General features: G+C 37.8%; 1 protein-coding gene across 6 annotated transcripts in view; it reads left to right on the forward strand.

The window, feature by feature from the left end:
• SKIL (SKI like proto-oncogene) overlaps positions 1-10,054 on the forward strand; it is a 39,135-nt gene extending 29,081 nt beyond the window's left edge. For 4 of the 6 annotated variants that reach the window (XM_005247721.2, XM_006713735.2, NM_001248008.1 and 1 more), the window contains 3 exons: positions 3,428-3,669; positions 4,241-4,465; positions 5,464-10,054. In XM_005247721.2, the coding sequence (XP_005247778.1) occupies positions 3,428-3,669; positions 4,241-4,465; positions 5,464-5,622 (626 nt within the window). In that variant the 3' untranslated portion in view covers positions 5,623-10,054. The remainder of the gene's footprint in view (positions 1-3,427; positions 3,670-4,240; positions 4,466-5,463) is intronic. The other 2 variants (NM_005414.5, NM_001145098.3) reach the window with 1 other exon arrangement.

Below are 18,507 nucleotides of genomic sequence, written 5' to 3' on the forward strand. Positions count from 1 at the left end.
TTCTTCAGATTTAAATATGGTAAACAAAAATTAGTAATGACTATTATGCCATATTTACATTGTATTTTATTTCTTAAATTAATTCTAATGACTTCTAAAAAATTATTGAGATAATTTATATACCATAAAATTTACCCTTTTAAAGCCTACAATTCAGTGGTTTTTAATACATTCACAAAGTTGTGCAACCATCACAGCTAATTTAGTTCCATAATGTTTTCTTTTCTTTCTTTTTTTTTAAGATGGAGTTTCACTCTTGTCGCCCAGGCTAGAGTGCAGTGGGGTGATTTCGGCTCACTGCAAGCTCTGCCTCCCGGGTTCAAGCGATTCTCCTGCCTCAGCCTCCTGAGTAGCTGGGATTACAGGCGTGTGTCACCACGCCTGGCTAATTTTTTTGTATTATTAGTAAGAGACAGGGTTTTCGCCATGTTAGTCAGGCTGATCTTGAACTCCTGACCTTAGGTGATCCACCCGCCTCGGCCCATAATGTTTTCATCACTCCAAAAATTAACCCTATAATCCATTAGGAGTCACTCCCTGATTCTCCCTTTCTCGAAGCCTCTGGCAACCACTAATCTATTTTCTATCTTTATGGATTTGCTTATTCTGGACATTTCATATAAAAGGAATTGTACAATATGTGGCTTTTCATGTCTGGTCAAGAAGCTTATGCTTCTTTCATGAAAGATAATGTTTTCACAGTCCATGTTGTTGCATGTACCAGTACTTCTTTTTATGGCCTGATAAGATTCCATTATGTGAATATACCACATTTTTTTTATTCCTTCGTCAGTCGGACATTTGCATTGGGTCTACTTTTTGGCAATTAAGAATAATGCTGCTATAGGCCGGGCGCGGTGGCTCACGCCTGTAATCCCAGCACTTTGGGAGGCCGAGGCGGGCGGATCACGAGGTCAGGAGATCGAGACCATCCCGGCTAAAACGGTGAAACCCCGTCTCTACTAAAAAAAAAAAAAAATACAAAAAAATTAGCCGGGCGTAGTGGCGGGCGCCTGTAGTCCCAGCTACTTGGGAGGCTGAGGCAGGAGAATGGCGTGAACCCGGGAGGCGGAGCTTGCAGTGAGCCGAGATCCCGCCACTGCACTCCAGCCTGGGCGACAGAGCGAGACTCCGTCTCAAAAAAAAAAAAAAAAAAAAAAAAGAATAATGCTGCTATAAATACTTGTGTAGAAGTTTAAGTGTAGAACTATATTTTCAGTTTTTTTTTGGTATGTATTTAGGAGTGAAATTGCTAGGTCATGTGGTAATTATGTTTAATGTTTTGAGGAACTGCCAAACTTTTCAAAAGCAGTTGCACCATTTTACATTCCTGTGGTAGCTTGGGAGTTTCAAATTTTGCATATCTTTGTCAACACTTGTTATTGTTTGTCTTTTGAATATAGCCATCCTAGTGGTTGTGAAGTGGTATTTCATGGTTTTAATTTGCAATTTCTCAGTGAATGATGATATTGAGTATCTTTTCATGTTTTTCTTGGACATTGCATATCTTTGGAGAAATGTCTATTCAGGTCTTTTGGCTATTTTAATGCTAGGTTGTTTTACTATTGAGTTGTAAGAGTTCTTTATATATTCTGGATACTGGATCCTTATCAGATATTTGATTTACCATACTGTTTTCTTTTTACTTTCTTGTTAGTGTTCTTTTTTTTTTCCTGAGACAAAGTCTGGCTGTATCACCCCAGCTTGGCTCACTGCAACCTCTACCTCCTGGGCTTAATCCATCCTTTCACCTCAGCCTCCCAAGTAGCTGGGACTACAGGGATGTACCACCATGCTCGGCTAATTTTTGTATTTTTGGTGGAGTTGGGGTTTTGCCATGTTGAGGCTGGTCTCAAACTCGTGAGCTTAAGCAATCCACCTGCCTCAGCCTCCCAAAGTGTTGGGATTACTGGTGTGAGCCACCGCGCTTGGCCGTGTTAGTGTTCTTTGAAGCACAAAAGTTTTAAATGTTTATTACATCCAATTTATCTATTTTTTTCTTGTTTTAGGTATCATATCTAAGAAACTATTGCCTAATCCCAATTCCAAGAAATATTTATTTATGTATTTATTTATTTATTTATTTATTTTTGAGACAGAGTCTCACTCTGTTGCCCAGGCTGGAGTACAGTGGTGCCATCTCAGCTCACTGCAACCTCCACCTCCCGGGTTCAACCAATTTTTCTGTCTCAGCCTCCTGAGTAGCTGGGATTACAGGTGCGCGCCACCATGCCTGGCTAATTTTTTTTGTATTTTTAGTAGAGACAGAGTTTTACCATGTTGGTCAGGCTGGTGGTGAACTCCTGACCTCAGGTAATCCACCTGCCTCGGCCTCCCAAAGTGCTGGGATTATAGGCGTGAGCCACCACATCCAGCCAAGAAATTTATGTTTAAGGGTTGTAGCTCTTACATTTAGGTCTTTGATCAGTTTAGAGTTAATTTTTGTATACAGCATAAGGTCCAACCTTATTCTTTTGCATGTGGATATAGTTGTCCGTATGTTGAAAAGATTATTCTTTCCTTTTTTTTTTTTTTTGAGACGGAGTCTTGCTCTGTTGCCCAGGCTGGAGTGCAGTGGCGCTATCTCGGCTCACTGCAAGCTCCGCCTCCCAGGTTCACGCCATTCTTCTGCCTCAGCCTCCCGAGTAGCTGGGACTACAGGCGCCCGCCACCAAGCCTGGCAAATTTTTTGTATTTTTTAGTAGAGACAGGGTTTCACCATGTTAGCCAGGATGGTCTCAATCTCCTGACGTCGTGATCCGCCCTTCTCGGCCTCCCAAAGTGCTGGGATTACAGGCGTGAGCCACCGCGCCTGGCCAGAAAAGATTATTCTTTCCTGACTGAATTGCTTTGGCACCTTTGTCAACAACAATTGCCTTATAAAGTATGAGTTTTTTAAATTTCTGGACTCTGAATTCTGTTCTACTGATCTGTATGTCTATCTTTAAATCATGTCACACAGTCTTGATTTCTGTAGCTTTGTAGTAAGCTTTGAAATTGGGAATTGTGAGTCTTTCAACTTCGTTATTCTTTTTCAAGATTATTTTGCCTATTTTGGGTTTGTTGCATTTCCATATGGATTTTAGAAACTGCTTTTCAATTTCTGCAAAAAATCCAGTGGGGATTTTGATAGGGATTGCACTGATAAGTAGATCAATTTGGAGACTATTACTGTCTTAACAATATTAAGTCTTCCAATCCATGAATTTGGGATGTCTTTCCATGTATTTAGGTCTTAAATTTCTTTTAGTGATGTTTTGTAGTTTTCATTGTACTTGCACTGCTTTTGTTAAATTTATTCCTATTTTATTTGTTTTGGTCTAATTTATAAATGAAATGTTTTAAAAATTACATTTATGGATTGTTCTAGTGATTTTTTTAATGGAGTGATATTCATACTTTGTTACTTGATTTTTTTCTCTCCAAGATGCATCAATCTCAAATAATTCTACAAGTAAAAGGAAATCTGAGTCTGCCACTTGCAACTTAGTCAGAGACATAAACAAAGTGGGAATTGGCCTTGTTGCTGCCGCTTCATCTCCGCTTCTTGTGAAAGATGTCATTTGTGAGGATGATAAGGGAAAAATCATGGAAGAAGTAATGAGAACTTATTTAAAACAACAGGAAAAACTAAACTTGATTTTGCAAAAGAAGCAACAACTTCAGATGGTAAAATTGTTATCTAAATGATAGTCCATTATGAAAAGATACTTTTGTATATTGCTCTGTCGCCCAGGCTGGAGTGCAGTGGCGCAGTCTCAGCTCACTGAAACCTCCACCTCACAGGTTCAAGCAATTCTTCTGCCTTAGCCTTCCGAGTAGCTAGCATTACAGGCACGTGCCACCATGCCTGGCTAAATTTTGTATTCTTAGTAGAGATGGGGTTTCTCCATGCTGGCCAGGCTCGAACTTTTGACCTTGTGATCCACCAGCCTTGGCCTCCCAAAGTGCTGGGATTACAGGTGTGAGCCACTGCGCCCAGCCCCCCTGTATATTCTTAGTAAGAAAAGTCAAAACGAGATGCTACAAATGTACTTAAGATTATTGTTTTACACTGAAAAGCAATTTTAATATATTTTAAAATTTTTTGAGAAAATAGTTTTTTAAAATAATTACCTCTATATAGAACTGATAATGATAGCTGAATTTTAGGTATTTTCTGTGCTATGTTTTCCAGAACTGAAAATTTTAACATGGTGAAAATAAAGTAAAACTTGTATTGTGATTCTTTACATTACAGGAAGTAAAAATGTTGAGTAGTTCAAAATCTATGAAGGAACTCACTGAAGAACAGCAGAATTTACAGAAAGAGCTTGAATCTTTGCAGAATGAACATGCTCAAAGAATGGAAGAATTTTATGTTGAACAGAAAGACTTAGAGAAAAAATTGGAGCAGATAATGAAGCAAAAATGTACCTGTGACTCAAATTTAGAAAAAGACAAAGAGGCTGAATATGCAGGACAGGTAAGAATTACTGTTTGTATAATGGTGCCCTTTCAGCATGGAAATGGAAACTGTTACTTCTCTCTTTTTTTTTTTTGAGACAGAGACTGCTCTGTCGCCCAGGCTGGAGTGCAGTGGCACAATCTCAGCTCCCCACAACCTCTGCCTCCCGGGTTCAAGCAATTTTCCTGCCTCAGCCTCCTGATTGTAGCTGGGATTACAGGCGTGCGACACTATGCCCAGCTAAATTTTGTATTTTTTAGTAGAGACGGGGTTTCACCATGTTGGTCAGTCTGGTCTTGAACTCCTGACCTCATGATCTGCCCACCTCAGCCTCCCAAAATGCTGGGATTACAAGCATGAGCCACTGCACCCGGCCACCGTTACTTCTCTAATAAAGGAATTACTTTTTGTCAAGCTCAGTTTACTAAGCTAGATTTCAAAATAGATAATTCTGTTAAACATAGCTTTATGCTGTATTGTCCAAGATGATTATTTTGATGTTTGTTGCTTTTATTAGTTTAAATTTTTATCGGGTTACTGCAGTTTAGTTACCTAAATTGCTAATCTCTAGCCCTCTGAATATTATATGTTATATTATTTTAATGTAGTATATGAGCTTTCAAATCTACAAATTAACAAACAGGAACTGTTGCCTGTTATGTTCAAAAGCACTGGAGCAAAAATAAGCAATTCTCTTTTGTTAATAGAATCTCACAATTTAAGGAACATGAACAAATAACTAACATGAGCAGGCTGTGATGAGCGGTATAGTAAAGTATAGGGCATAATGAACATGAACATGCTGGATGTGTTCCTTCCTCTTGTTCCTTTGCTTTTTCTTAAATTTAGTGTCCTGTCAGATGTCAGATTAATAGTATTAGATGCTTAATGGATTTAGTATACATGAAATAGTTCGTTTTGTAAAAAGTAATTTGAAAATAGATATTTTCTATGATATGAGGATTAAATGGAAAAACAAAACAATTAAAATTGATAGCGCCTTTTAAATCACATAGTTGGCAGAACTGAGGCAGAGATTGGACCATGCTGAGGCCGATAGGCAAGAACTCCAAGATGAACTCAGACAGGAACGGGAAGCAAGACAGAAGTTAGAGATGATGATAAAAGAGCTAAAGCTGCAAATTCTGAAATCATCAAAGACTGCTAAAGAATAGAAACTGTTAAAGAGATTCATCTGTGTATTACTGACAAGGTTTTTTTTGTTTGTTGCTTGCTTTGGTAATTGAATTCTGAAGAATTTATCTGCATGACGATAACTAGGCATTCTATCCATTTGTAGATCAGAGAAAGTGAAGAGATTATATATTAGTACTTAAATTTTTACATTTTCCAAATGAATGAAAATGTATGTTTCTTTGTACTTTTTTAAAAAAATCAGCTTAGTAACAATACTATATGGTTTCAACTAGTAGGTAATCTGCTTATATTTCTAATGCAAACTTAACAATTGTGTACTTTTTAAAAGCTGCAATATGTGTTGGAAAATAGCTGTGGTCAATTTTGTTATCCATATTTCAGACTCAATTTTAGATACAATGGTGGCTTTATATTTTAAGTATATAGAGCTACTCAAGGAGTTGAATCTCCCCTTTTCTCATTAACACAATTTTTCTAAGTTGATATGGTGTACTCATTAACATACACCAAATTTACTTTTACTTTGTTCAGATTGTGGAATGAATTTCCACCAGTTCTCTTCTTTTTAATGTGTACCCTAGGAGGAATTTTACTGAGGTTATAGCATACCCCATGAGCACAGTGGGGAAGAAGAATGTGTTGTTATGTGCTGCTGCTAAACAGAAGCAGCAGTTGTAATTTGTTTTTCAGTTTAAATGTGGTTATAGTTAGATTTTTTTTTAAGCAGCAACTTTTCAAAAATAAAATGTGATAATTTCTGAACTTTTGTTTGTGTTGTTAATAGTGGTGTGAAAATATTAACGTTCTTGAGAAAAACTGATACCACTGTTGTGTATCAGTTTCTATACAATCCATAATCCTCCTGTACAGTTTTTACATGTAGTTATGAGTCTTACTAAAATTTATATAATGGACTTGTTTTCCTTTAAGTTGTAAAATGTTAAACACCTTGAAGGTTATTTTGGACTTCTGTATGTTTAAATGTTGTCTTACCAAAATTTGCACGAATGGACCATTTTCATTTACTACTTAATATCAAAATCAGGAATTTACAGTCAACTGATAGTACATGATAGGTGCATATAGGACAGTTTAGTTACCTGCTACTAAAAGATTTTTAGATAAGTTTTAGAAGATAAAGGAATTCCATAGTTTCAGGAGGGACAACATCTTCTGCACTTTTTTTTTGCACAGAAAAGTCTGTCATTCTCTAATGGCAAATTTCATATTTGTTAATTCTTGGCTCAAAATATATTAGGTAAAATTCTTAGATCTGTTTTTAAAGGGAGTTTCCTGAAACTATCATTAATTGACATTATTACCCCATGGATTTTATGGGATAATAAATGTTTTTCATGTTCTCTTATAAGATACTATGTATGAAATTACTTCAGAGAGCTATATTTATTTTAAAATAAATTAGCTAGGGTTAAGGTTATATTCTATTTCCAGCATAGAAGGTAGATAATCTAATGGTGTAGAAAGAATCACTAGGTTGTCATTTAACCAGTTATTTTCATATTTTGCTTAATAGTACATATCCAAAAAGAATTTTGTACTTCCCCAAATGTAATTTATTTACTAAATTGAGTATAACCTAAATGTGTGTTTTCTATTTTCCATTTAAATTTTGCTATATTAAGACTAATTTAATTCGTTGAGTCTTGGAATCTTCTCAAGGAGGAACAAATATTAAAATGACATGTAGAAACAAATTTTTTTTTTTTTTTTTTTTTTTTTTTTTTTGAGACAGAGTCTCGCTGTCTCCCAGGCTGGAGTTCAGTGGTGCAATCTCGGCTCACTGCAAGCTCTGCCTCCTGGGTTCAAGCCATTCTCCTGCCTCAGCCTCCCGAGTAGCTGGGACTACAGGCACCCACCACCACTCCCGGCTAATTTTTAGAAACAAATATTTAAAATGACATATTCTCCCAATACAATCTATTTAGATCTGGAGAAGGAAAAATCAGATATTTATGATATAGTTTTATTTTAATTTTGAATTATTTGTGTCACAGCTCAGCTTTTTGGAAGACAAACTCAAACACCTATAATTTCATTTATATTTCTAATTCACTTGGAACCTTTCTGCTTTATGTTACCTAGAAAATGATAATTTGTTTAACCCAAAACTTCTAAAATAAATTGCTTAATCCTTGAAATATGTTATTGGAAAATTTTAAGCAGTGCTTAAACACCATTAAATTATTATGAACTTGTAATTCAGAATTGAGTAAAGAAATATTTTTTCTAGTCCTTCATATATTGAAAACTTGCCACATGACATTGTATCGTCTTCATTTTCCAGAAGATGCGTTGGTGTGCCATAGGTTTCTAACTTCCTTGAAAATAGTTTTTTAAGTCAATTGTAAATATACGTATTATTGTTAAAAGTAACTTTAAACTGCAACACATAGCTTCAAAACAATATAGAGATTTTGTAATACCTTATAAGTGGAGTTGGCTAAAATACCTTATCCATATAAAACTTATTCTATTCTTTGCATGCTTATTTTGTGTGTTGGTTGCTAGCTTAAAGTTTGATTTGTTGTTACTCTTTGTGTGCCAAATTCACTAGGCAAGCGGATTTTTCCTCAGACTTCAAAAAATAATTCTTTTAAGAAAAAATGTAAAAATGTTTATTCTAAAAAGCTGCATTAAAGGGACAACCTATAAAAAGTTTTGCTAGCTCATCTTTAGAAGGAAGAAAGAATATTAGCTTGGGTGATGTTTAATTTGGGTGGCGATAGTTTCTGTAGGCTAAACTTTATGAGAAAAGTGTACCTACTCTATAAAGGTAATAAATGTAAAACCTCTTGCTGTTATTGAGGAAGCTCTTCAACTACCCTAAATTTCACAAATGTAACTTATAACACTATGAAAAGATTTGACCAACAATTTACGTTTGCTGTGTGCTTTAGTTTTTGTTTAAGCATATTCTTTTGCTTGAATTTCTGTGTTCATGAGAGTTAGGGTGTTTTATGCTTCTTGAACTAATTTTATAACATATTTAATATATTACCAGTTAAGATATAAAATCATTTGTACATAGCGAATTGTAAAGCAGCTATTAAAGTAGGTGAAATAAAGTATATATTTGCCGGTTATCCATATCTTTTAGAAGTCCTGACAGAACAACCAGTTTATTTGCACATAGGTAGCTTCTGTTTGAAGGAAGGTAAAGTTATAAGGAAACTCAAATACTATAAGATGTGTCAAGGTATTTCTCCAGAATTAATTGCAAAGCTAGTGCTGAAGGATTTTAATCAGCTTCTAAAATTTTCTTCTCAATAAGGCATATGTTTTGATTACTTAGGGAAGATTCCTCATTTTTATTTGCCCTTTATGCATTTAATCCACATGATAGGACATTAAAAATTAATATAAAGAAAAATCGTGCTCATACTGTACATCTGTTTCTGTGCTTGGAACTACTTGTTAATAGTTTTTATCGAAGCTGTCAGCAATAAGGGACATAAAACTGCTGTATTATACATTGTGGAATTGAATAAACAGCCTAATTTTTTTTTTCTAGTATAGGGTACTTAAGCATTTCCACTTTTGGAAGAAAAGTGTATTAGTATTTTATATTGCATTTCATTTAAAAGGACAGTTTTTTTTTTTTTTTTGTAAATCCATTCATTGAAATGGTTTCTAAACTGTATAATGTAATTTGGAGCCTATTTAGTAATAGAATTAAATGTCCTATGTAGTGCTACAATTTTTGAATTAGAAAGTGATCAAATGTAAGAAAAAAATTTAAAAATTCAGCCCAGAAAACAAAATAGTGTATTAAATTAGTTTAATGTAAAAGGAATTTATAAGATTTTTTTCCTCAATATAGATACCTCACTTGAAAAGAAAGCACAGCATACTTAAAGTAGTTCTAGTAAACATGTCCTAGAAAACAGTTGCTAAATGTAGGACATCTTTTGAGGAATTAGTTTATGAGAAATAAAATTTTACTTGTTTTTACTATCCTGTTAGAAGTATTTGTTTATCCTGATAATTTTAAGCCAACATAGTAGTCTTAAATTACTTTTGAATTTCTAATCTGTGAAGGCAGTAAATGAAATATCTGTTCTGCAACTGTTGAAACAAATAATTGGCTACATTGACCATAATTAAAGTTAAAATTTTGCCAATGATGTACAGTTTTATGGTTAAAGTTGCTGTGGTTGGTTGCATTACATGACACAGAAAACTGTCCTCTACCTCACGTGAAATAAATATTTTATATGGTTTTACTAAAAATAAGACTCATGTATCTGGTCACCTAGTTTACAAATTTTGAATTATATTTATTGAAACATGACATACTGTGCTCTGAGCTTATACCTCAATTGTATTTTGTGCTGTTTTCCATTTTCATGCCTTGTAAATAACTTGTATAGATTGTGGATCAAATACTAAATAAAAACTTTTAATGCCAATTAAATTTGATTCAAGTTATTTCAGTATCGTGTGTGAGCTTAACTTTCTCATTCCCTAAGATTGACATTTTCTTCTTTGTTCCTTTAAAGTCTATTATTCGTAGGCTGGGCGCAGTGGCTCATGCCTGTAATCCCAGCACTTTGGGAGGCCAAGGCAGGCAGATCACCTGAGGTGAAGGAGTTTGAGATCAGCCTGGCCAGCATGGTGAAACGCTGTCTCTACTAAAAATACAAAATTAGCCGGGTGTGGTGACTCATGCTTGTAATCCCAGCTACTTGGGAGGCTGAGGCAGGAGAATCGCTTGAATCCAGGAAGCAGAGGTTGCAGTGAGCCGGGATCGTGCCATTGCACTTCAGCCTGGGTGACGAGCGAAAACTGTCTCAAAAAAAAAAAAAAAAAAAAAAGTACATTATTCGTTACACACTAACTTGAAAAATGTGTTTTATTGTAGAACAGGAAATTTTATGCAATATTTCAGGTGATGAAAATACCAGCATTATGTGATTATTTAATGATTTTTAGACTTCAGCTTTAACATCCTTACCAAATCCCTGGTATAAGTTATCTACTGCATAACAAATTACCCCACAATTTATCAATGTCAGAAATCCAGGAGATGGCCAAGCACACTGGCTCTTACCTGTAATCCCAGTGCTTTGGGAGTCTGGGGTGGGAGGATCGCTTGAACCCAGGAGTAGCAGTTTCAGGCTGTGGTGAGCTGTTACATAATCACACCACTGTACTCCAGCCTGGGTAAGAGTGAGCGGAGTGAGACCTTGTCTCTAAAAATAAAAAACCCCAAGCTACTTATACATTATATCATGGTGTTATCAATAAGGGCAATTAAAAAAAAAATCCAGGAACATTTAGCTTGCTGTTGCGGCTCAGGAGCTCTTGTAAGGTTGCACTTAGGATGTTACCCAGGGTTGAAGTCTGAAAGCTGCATTGAACTGAAGGATTTGCCTCCGAGCTCACTTACATGGTTGCCGACAAGGTGCTCAATTGCTCACTATGTGGACCTGTCCATGGAGCTGTTCATGACATGACTAGTTTACCCCAAATGAGTGATCCAGAAGAAAACGTCATGCCACAATTTTTTTATGACCCAGACTGTACGTCACACACTCACTTTTGTTTTATTACAGGACAAGTTTACATAGGGTTTGAATACCGGGAGGCAGGGATCATTAGGGACTATCTTAGAGTCTATTTATAGTACCCTCTAAGTTGTAATTAAATTTTTTTTTGTGATGAGATGTACACAACAATTTAGTATTTTAGCCGTTTTTAAGTGTACGATTCAATGACATAGTCACAATGTTAGGCAACTATCACCATTGTTTTCAGCATTTTTTCATTATCCCAAACAGAAGCTCTGTACCTATTAAACAGTAACTCCCTAATGCATATCTTCTCCCCCAGCCCCTGATAACTTTTTTTCTATTTTCCGTCTCTGAATTTGCCTATTCTAGATATGTAAGTGGAATAAAAATACTTGTCCTTTATGTCTAACTTGTTTCATTGATCATGATGTTTTCAACATACATCCGTGTTGTTTCATGTCTCAGAATTTCACTTGTTTGTATGGCTGAATAGTACTCCATTGCATGTTTATACTACATTCTGTTTATCCATCTGTTGATTGACAATTTCATTGTTTGCACCTTTTAGCTATTGCAAATAATGCTGCTATGAACATTGGTTTACAGTTGTCTACTTAAGTCCCTGCTTTCTCTTCTTTTGGATGTATACCTAGGAGTAGAATTGTTGGATCATATGGTGATTCTATATTTAACTTTTTGAAGAATCACATACGTTTTCCACAGGACTGCTTCATTTTTCATCCGCACCAGGAATGCATGATGGTTACAGTTTCTCTACACCCTTGCCAACACATGTTATTTTCCATTTTACCAGTATTAGCCATCCTATTGGGTGTGAAGTGTTACTTCATTTGCATTTCTCTAGTGACTGATGATGTTGAGCACCGTGTGCGTTGTGTATTTTTGGAGAACTATTCAAGTCCTTTGCCCATTTAAAAAATTGTTGTTATTGTTGAGTTGTAGGGATTCTTTATATATTCTGGATATTAATCCCTTATTTTTTATTTTTATATATTTTTTGAGATGGAGTCCCGCACTGTCACCCAGGCTGGAGTGCAATGGCGCAATCTCGGCTCACTGCAACCTCCATCTCCTGGGTTCACACGATTTCTCCTGCCTCAGCCTCCCAAGTAGCTGGGATTACAGGCGCACACCACCACACCCAGCTATTTTTTTGTATTTTTAGTAGAGACAGGGTTTCATTATGTTGGCCAGACTGGTCTTGAACTCCTCACTTCAGGTGATCTGCCCACCTCGGCCTCCCAAAGTGCTGGAATTAGGCTAGGCACAGTGGCTCATGCCTGTAATCTCAGCACTTTGGGAGGCCGAGGTGGGTGGATCACTTGAGGCCAGGAGTTCGAGACCAGCCTGGCTAACATGGTGAAACCCCATTTCTACTAAAAATACAAAAACAATTAGCTAGGTGTGGTGGTGCATGCCTGTACTCACCATCCAGCTACTCAGGAGGTTGAGGCAGGAGAATCACTTGAACCCGGGAGGCAGATGTACGCCACTGCACTCCAGCCTGGGTGACAGAGTGAGACCCTGTCTCAAAAAAAAAAAAAAAGTGCTGGGATTACAGGTATGAGCCACCGTGCCCGGCCATTAGATCATTATTAAAAATCCATTCTGCCGATGGCTTATTTTTACTTTTTTTTTTTTTTTTTGAGACGGAGGCTCGCACTGTCACCCAGGCTGGAGTGTAGTGGCATGATCTCGGCTCACTGCAACCTCTGCCTCCCAGGTTCGAGCGATTCTCCTGCTTCAGCCTCCCAAGTAGCTGGGATTACAGGCGCGTGCCCGGCTAATTTTTTGTAGTTTTAGTAGAGACGGGGTTTCACCGTGTTAGCCAGGATGGTCTCGATCTCCTGACCACGTGATCTGCCCACCTCGGCCTCCCGAAGTGCTGGGATTACAGGCGTTAGCCACCGCGCCCAGCCCTTATTTTTACTTTTAATTGGTAAATTAAAATCGTATACATTTATGGTGTACAACATCATGTTTTGATATGTGTATACACATGGAATGGCTAAATCAAGCTATTTAACATATGCATTACCTCCCATTCTTATTATTTTGTGGTAAGGACACAAAATCTACTCTCTTAGTAATTTTCAAGTATATAATATATTGTTATTAACTGTAGTCACCACGATGTAACATAGGTCCTTGAACTTATTCCTCCTAACTAAGATTTTGTGTTATTTGACCAACATCTCCCCAATCTCTCTAGGCTCTGGTAACCACCAATTTACTATGAGATTGACTTTTTTACAGTCCACATATAAGTGAGATCACATGGTATTTGTCTTTTTGTGCCTGGCTGATTTCACTTAAAATAACATCCTCCATGGAAGTTGCAGTCAGCCGAGATCGCACCATTGCACTCCAGCCTGGGCGACAGAGCAAGACTCTGTCTCTAAAAAGAAAAACAACAACACCCCATAATATGCTCCAGGTTCATCCGTGTTGTTGAAAAATAACAGGTTGTCCTTTGTCAAGAATGAATAACATTCCATTTTGTATATATGCTACATATACCCCATTTTCTCTTTCCATTCCTTTCCCTTTTCTTCCCTTCCTTTCCCTTCCCTTCCCTTCCCTCCCCCTTCCCTCCCCCTTCCTCCCCCCTCCCCTCCCTCTCCTCCTTCCCTTCCCTTCCTTTTTTCTTTTCTCTCTCTTTCTCTTGTTCTTTCTCTCTCTCTTTCTTCTTTCTTTTGCTCTCTCTTTCCTTCTTCTTTCTTTCTTTTCTTCCTTCCTTCCTTCTCTTTCTTCTTCCTCCCTCCCTCTCCCTCTCTTTCTATCTCTTTCTTTCTTTCTTTCTTTCTTTCTTTCTTTCTTTCTTTCTTTCTTTCTTTCTTTCTGTCTTTCTCTCTTTCTTTTTCTTTCTTTCTCTCTCTCTCTCTTTCTTTCTTTCTCTCTTTGATACAGGGTCTTGGGCTGCTGGCTCACTACAACCTTGACTTCCTGGGCCCCAGTCATCCTCCCACCTCAGCCTCCGGAGCAGCTGTGACCACAGGCATGTGCAACCATGCCCAACTAATTTTTTAATTTTTTTGTAGGGACAGGGTCTCCCTATGTTGGCCAGGTTGGTCTTGAACTCCTGAGCTCAAGTGAACTCCTGAACTCCTGCCTTGACCTCCCAAAGTGCTAGGATTACAGGTATGAACCACTGTGCCCAGCCACCACATATTTTTTATCCATTCATCCATTGATGGACACTTTGGTTGAGTCCATATCTTGGCTATTGCAAATCAGTGCTGTAATGAATGGGAGTACAGATAACTCTTTGACACACTGATTTCATTTTTTTGGTATATACCCAGTAGTGGGATATCTGTATCACATGGTGTTCTATTTTTAATTTTTTGAAGACTCTCTATACTGTTGGCCATAATGACTGTACTAATTTACATTTCTACCAACTGTATGCAAGTTTTTTTTTCTTCCACATCCTAACACTTATGTTTTGTCTTTTTGATAATAGCCATTCTAACAGGTGTGTATGTCTTCTATTAATAAATATCTTTAGATCCTTTGCCCATTTTAAAATCAGGTTATTTGGGCCAGACATGGTGGCTCATGCTGTCATCCCAGCACTTTGGGAGGCTGAGTGGGCAGGTCGCCTGAGCCCAGGAGTTCAAGACCAGCCTGGGCAACATGGCGAAACCCCATCTCTACAAAAAATACAAATGCACAAAATTGCCCAGGCATGTTGGCAAGCACTTATAGTCCTAGTTACTAAAGAGTCCCTCACCTGAGCCCAGGGAGGTCGACACTACAGTGAAACCATGATCACACCACTGCACTCCAACGTGAGCAAGAGAGTGAGACTCTGTCTCAAAAAACTAAATAATAGGCCGGGCGCGGTGGCTCACGCCTGTAATCCCAGCACTTTGGGAGGCCGAGGCGGGCGGATCACGAGGTCAAGAGATCGAGACCATCCCGGCTAAAACGGTGAAACCCCGTCTCTACTAAAAATACAAAAAAATTAGCCGGGCGTAGTGGCGGGCGCCTGTAGTCCCAGCTACTTGGGAGGCTGAGGCAGGAGAATGGCGTGAACCCGGGAGGCGGAGCTTGCAGTGAGCCGAGATCCCGCCACTGCACTCCAGCCTGGGCGACAGAGCGAGACTCCGTCTCAAAAAAAAAAAAAAAAAAAAACTAAATAATAAATAAATAGGCCAAGCTCAGTGGCTCATGCCTGTAATCCCAACACTTTGGGAGGCTGAGCTGGGCATATTACTTGAGGTCGGGAATTCAAGACCAGCCTCGCCAATGTAGTGAAACTCTGTCTCTACTAAAAATACAAAAATTAGCTGGGCATGGTTGTGTGTGCCTGTGGTCCCAGCTACTTGGAAGACTGAGGCAGGAGAATTGCTTGAACCCGGGAGGCAGAGGTTGCAGTGAGCTGAGACTGTACCACTGCACTCTAGCCTGGGTGACAGAGCTAGACTCTGTCTCGAAAAAAACAATAAATAAAAATTAAATTATTTGTTTTCTTGCTGTTGAGTTGTTTGAGTTTCTTGAGTATTTTGGACATTAATCATTTATCAAATGTAAGGTCTGCAAATATTTTCTTTCAGTCTAGGTTGCTTGTTACTTTGCGGATGGTTTCCTCGACTGTTCAGAAGCTTTTTCATTTGATATAATCTCACTTGTCTATTTTTGCTTTTGTTGCCTGTGCTTTTGTGTTCATATGCAAAAAAGCATAGCCCAGATCAATGTCCTGGAGTTTTCCATTATGAGTTCTAGTAGTTTTATGGCTTAAGGTCTTATATTCAAGCCTTTAGTCCATTTTGAGTTGATTTTTGTATTAGTGTGAGATAAAGGTCTAATTTCATTCTTCTGCATGTGGATATCCAGTTGTGCAAGCACCATTTATTGAAGAGACTATCCTTTCCCCATTGTGTGTTCTTAACATTTTTGTTGAAAATTATTGACCATAAATTCATGGATTTATTTCTAGGCTATCTGTTCTCTTTCATTGATCTATGTGTTTGTTTTTGTGCCAGTATCATGCTGTTTTGATTACCATAGCTTTGTAGTAGATTTTGAAGTCAGGTAGTGTGATGCCTCCAGCATCTTTCTGCTTTGGCTATTTGGCATCTTTTGTGGCTCCATGCAAATTTTAGGAGTCTTTTTCCTTTTCTGTGGAAAATGTAATTGGAATTTTGATAGGGATTGCATTGAATCTATAGATCACTTTCAGTAGTATGGACATTTTATCAATACTAATTCTTCCAATCCATGAATGTGGGATAATTTTTCATTTTATTGTGTTTTTGATTTCTTTCATTAATGTTTTATAGTTTTCAGTGTACAGGTCTTTCACCTCCTTAGTTAAGTTTATTTCTAAGTTATTTTATTTTATAGCTATTGTAAATGAGATTGTTTCCTTAATTTCTTTTTTGGATAGTTTGTTGTTAGTTTATAGAAAGGATGCTGATTTTGGTATGTTCACTTTATATCCTACAGCTTTACTAAATTTATTTATTCTAGCAGTTTTTTGGTGGCATCTTTAGTGATATATATATGATTATGAATATATACTTATAATCATGTCATCTGCAAACAGGGATAATTTAATTTCTTCCTTTCCAGTTTGAATGCCTTTTATTTTTTCTTTTGCCTATTTGCTCTGGTTAGGACTTCCAGTACCATGCTGAATAGAAGTGGTGAGAGTGGGCATCCTTATCTTGTTCCTGATCATAGAAGAAAAGCTTTCAAGTTTTCATTGAGTATGTTAGCTATGGGCTTGTATATGGCCTTTGTTTTGTTCAGTTACATTATTTCTATACCTAATTTGTTAAGAGTTTTTTTAATCATGAAAATATGTTGAATTTTGTCAAATGTCTTTTTTGCATTTATTGAGATAATTATGTTTTTTGTCCTTCGTTCTGTTAACGTGACAAAAGCACATTTATTGATTTGTGTATGTCAAATCATCCTTACAACCCAGGGATAAATCCCACTTATTCATGGTGAATGATCCTTTCAATGTGTTGTTGAATTTGGTTTGCTAGTATTTTGTTGAGGATCTATTTATTTATTTATTTATTTATTAGACAGAGTCTCACTTTGTCACTTGGGCTGGAGTGTAGTGGCATGATCTCAGCTCACTGCAAGCTCTACCTCCCAGGTTCAAGCGAGTCTTATGCCTCAGCCTCCCGAGGAGCTGGGATAATAGGGGTGGATCACCACACCCGGCTAATTTTTTTTTTTTTTTTTTTTTTTTTTTTTTGAGACAGAGTCTTGCTCCATGGCCCAGGTTGGAGTGCAATGGCGTGATCTTGGCTCACTGCAACCGCTGCTTTCCGGGTTCAAGCAATTCTCCTGTCTCAGCCTCCTAAGTAGCTGGGATTACAGGCGCCTGCCACCACACCCAGATAATTTTTTTTTTTTTGTATTTTTAGTAGAGATGGGGTTTCGCCATGTTGGCCAGCCTGGTCTCAAACTCCTGACCTCAGGTGACCCACCTGCCTCAGCCTCCCAAAGTGCTGGGATTACAGACGTGAGCCACCGTGCCCGGCTAATTTTAGTATTTTTAGTAGAGATAGGGTTTCACCATGTTGGCCAGGCTGGTCTCGAACTCCTGGCCTCAAGTGATCTGCCCACCTTGGCATTCCAAAGTGCTGGGATTACAGGCATGAGTCACTGCACCCAGCCTTGTTGAGGATTTTTACATCAATGTTCATTAGAGATATTGGCCTGTGATTTTCTTTTCTTGTAGTGTCCTCTGCTTTTGGTATCAGGGTAATGAGGGTAATACTGGTCTCATACAATGAGTGTGGAAGTTTTCCTTCTTTAATTTTTTTTTTTGGAAGAGTTTGAGAAGAACTGATATTAGTTCTCTCTCTCTCCCTTTTTTTTTTTTTTTGAGACAGAGTTTTACTCTGTTGCCCAGGCTAGAGTGCAGTGGCATGATCTCGGCTCACTGCAAGCTCCACCTCCTGGGTTCAAGCAATTCTCCTGCCTCAGCCTCCCAAGTAGCTGGAATTACAAGCACCTGCCACCATACTGGCTAATTTTTGTATTTTTAGTAGAGATGGGGTTTCACCACGCTGGCCAGGCTGGTCTTGAACTCCTGACCTCAGGTGATCCCCCCACCTCGGCCTCCCAAAGTGTTGGGATTACAGGCATGAGCCACCCCGCCCGGCCTTATTAGTTCTTTATTTTTTATTTTTTGAGACAGGGTTTTTCTCTGTTGCCCAGGCTGGTGTATAATGGCACAATCATGGCTCATTGTAACCTCAAACTCCTGGGCTCAAGCAGTTCTCCCACTTCAGCCTCCTGAGTAGCTGGGACCACAGAAATGTGCCATCACAACTGTCTAATTTTTAAAATTTTTCTTGTAGAGACAAAGTCTTG

This window comes from Homo sapiens, chromosome 3, assembly GCF_000001405.40.
Source record: "Homo sapiens chromosome 3, GRCh38.p14 Primary Assembly".
Classification (NCBI taxonomy): Eukaryota; Metazoa; Chordata; class Mammalia; order Primates; family Hominidae; genus Homo; species Homo sapiens.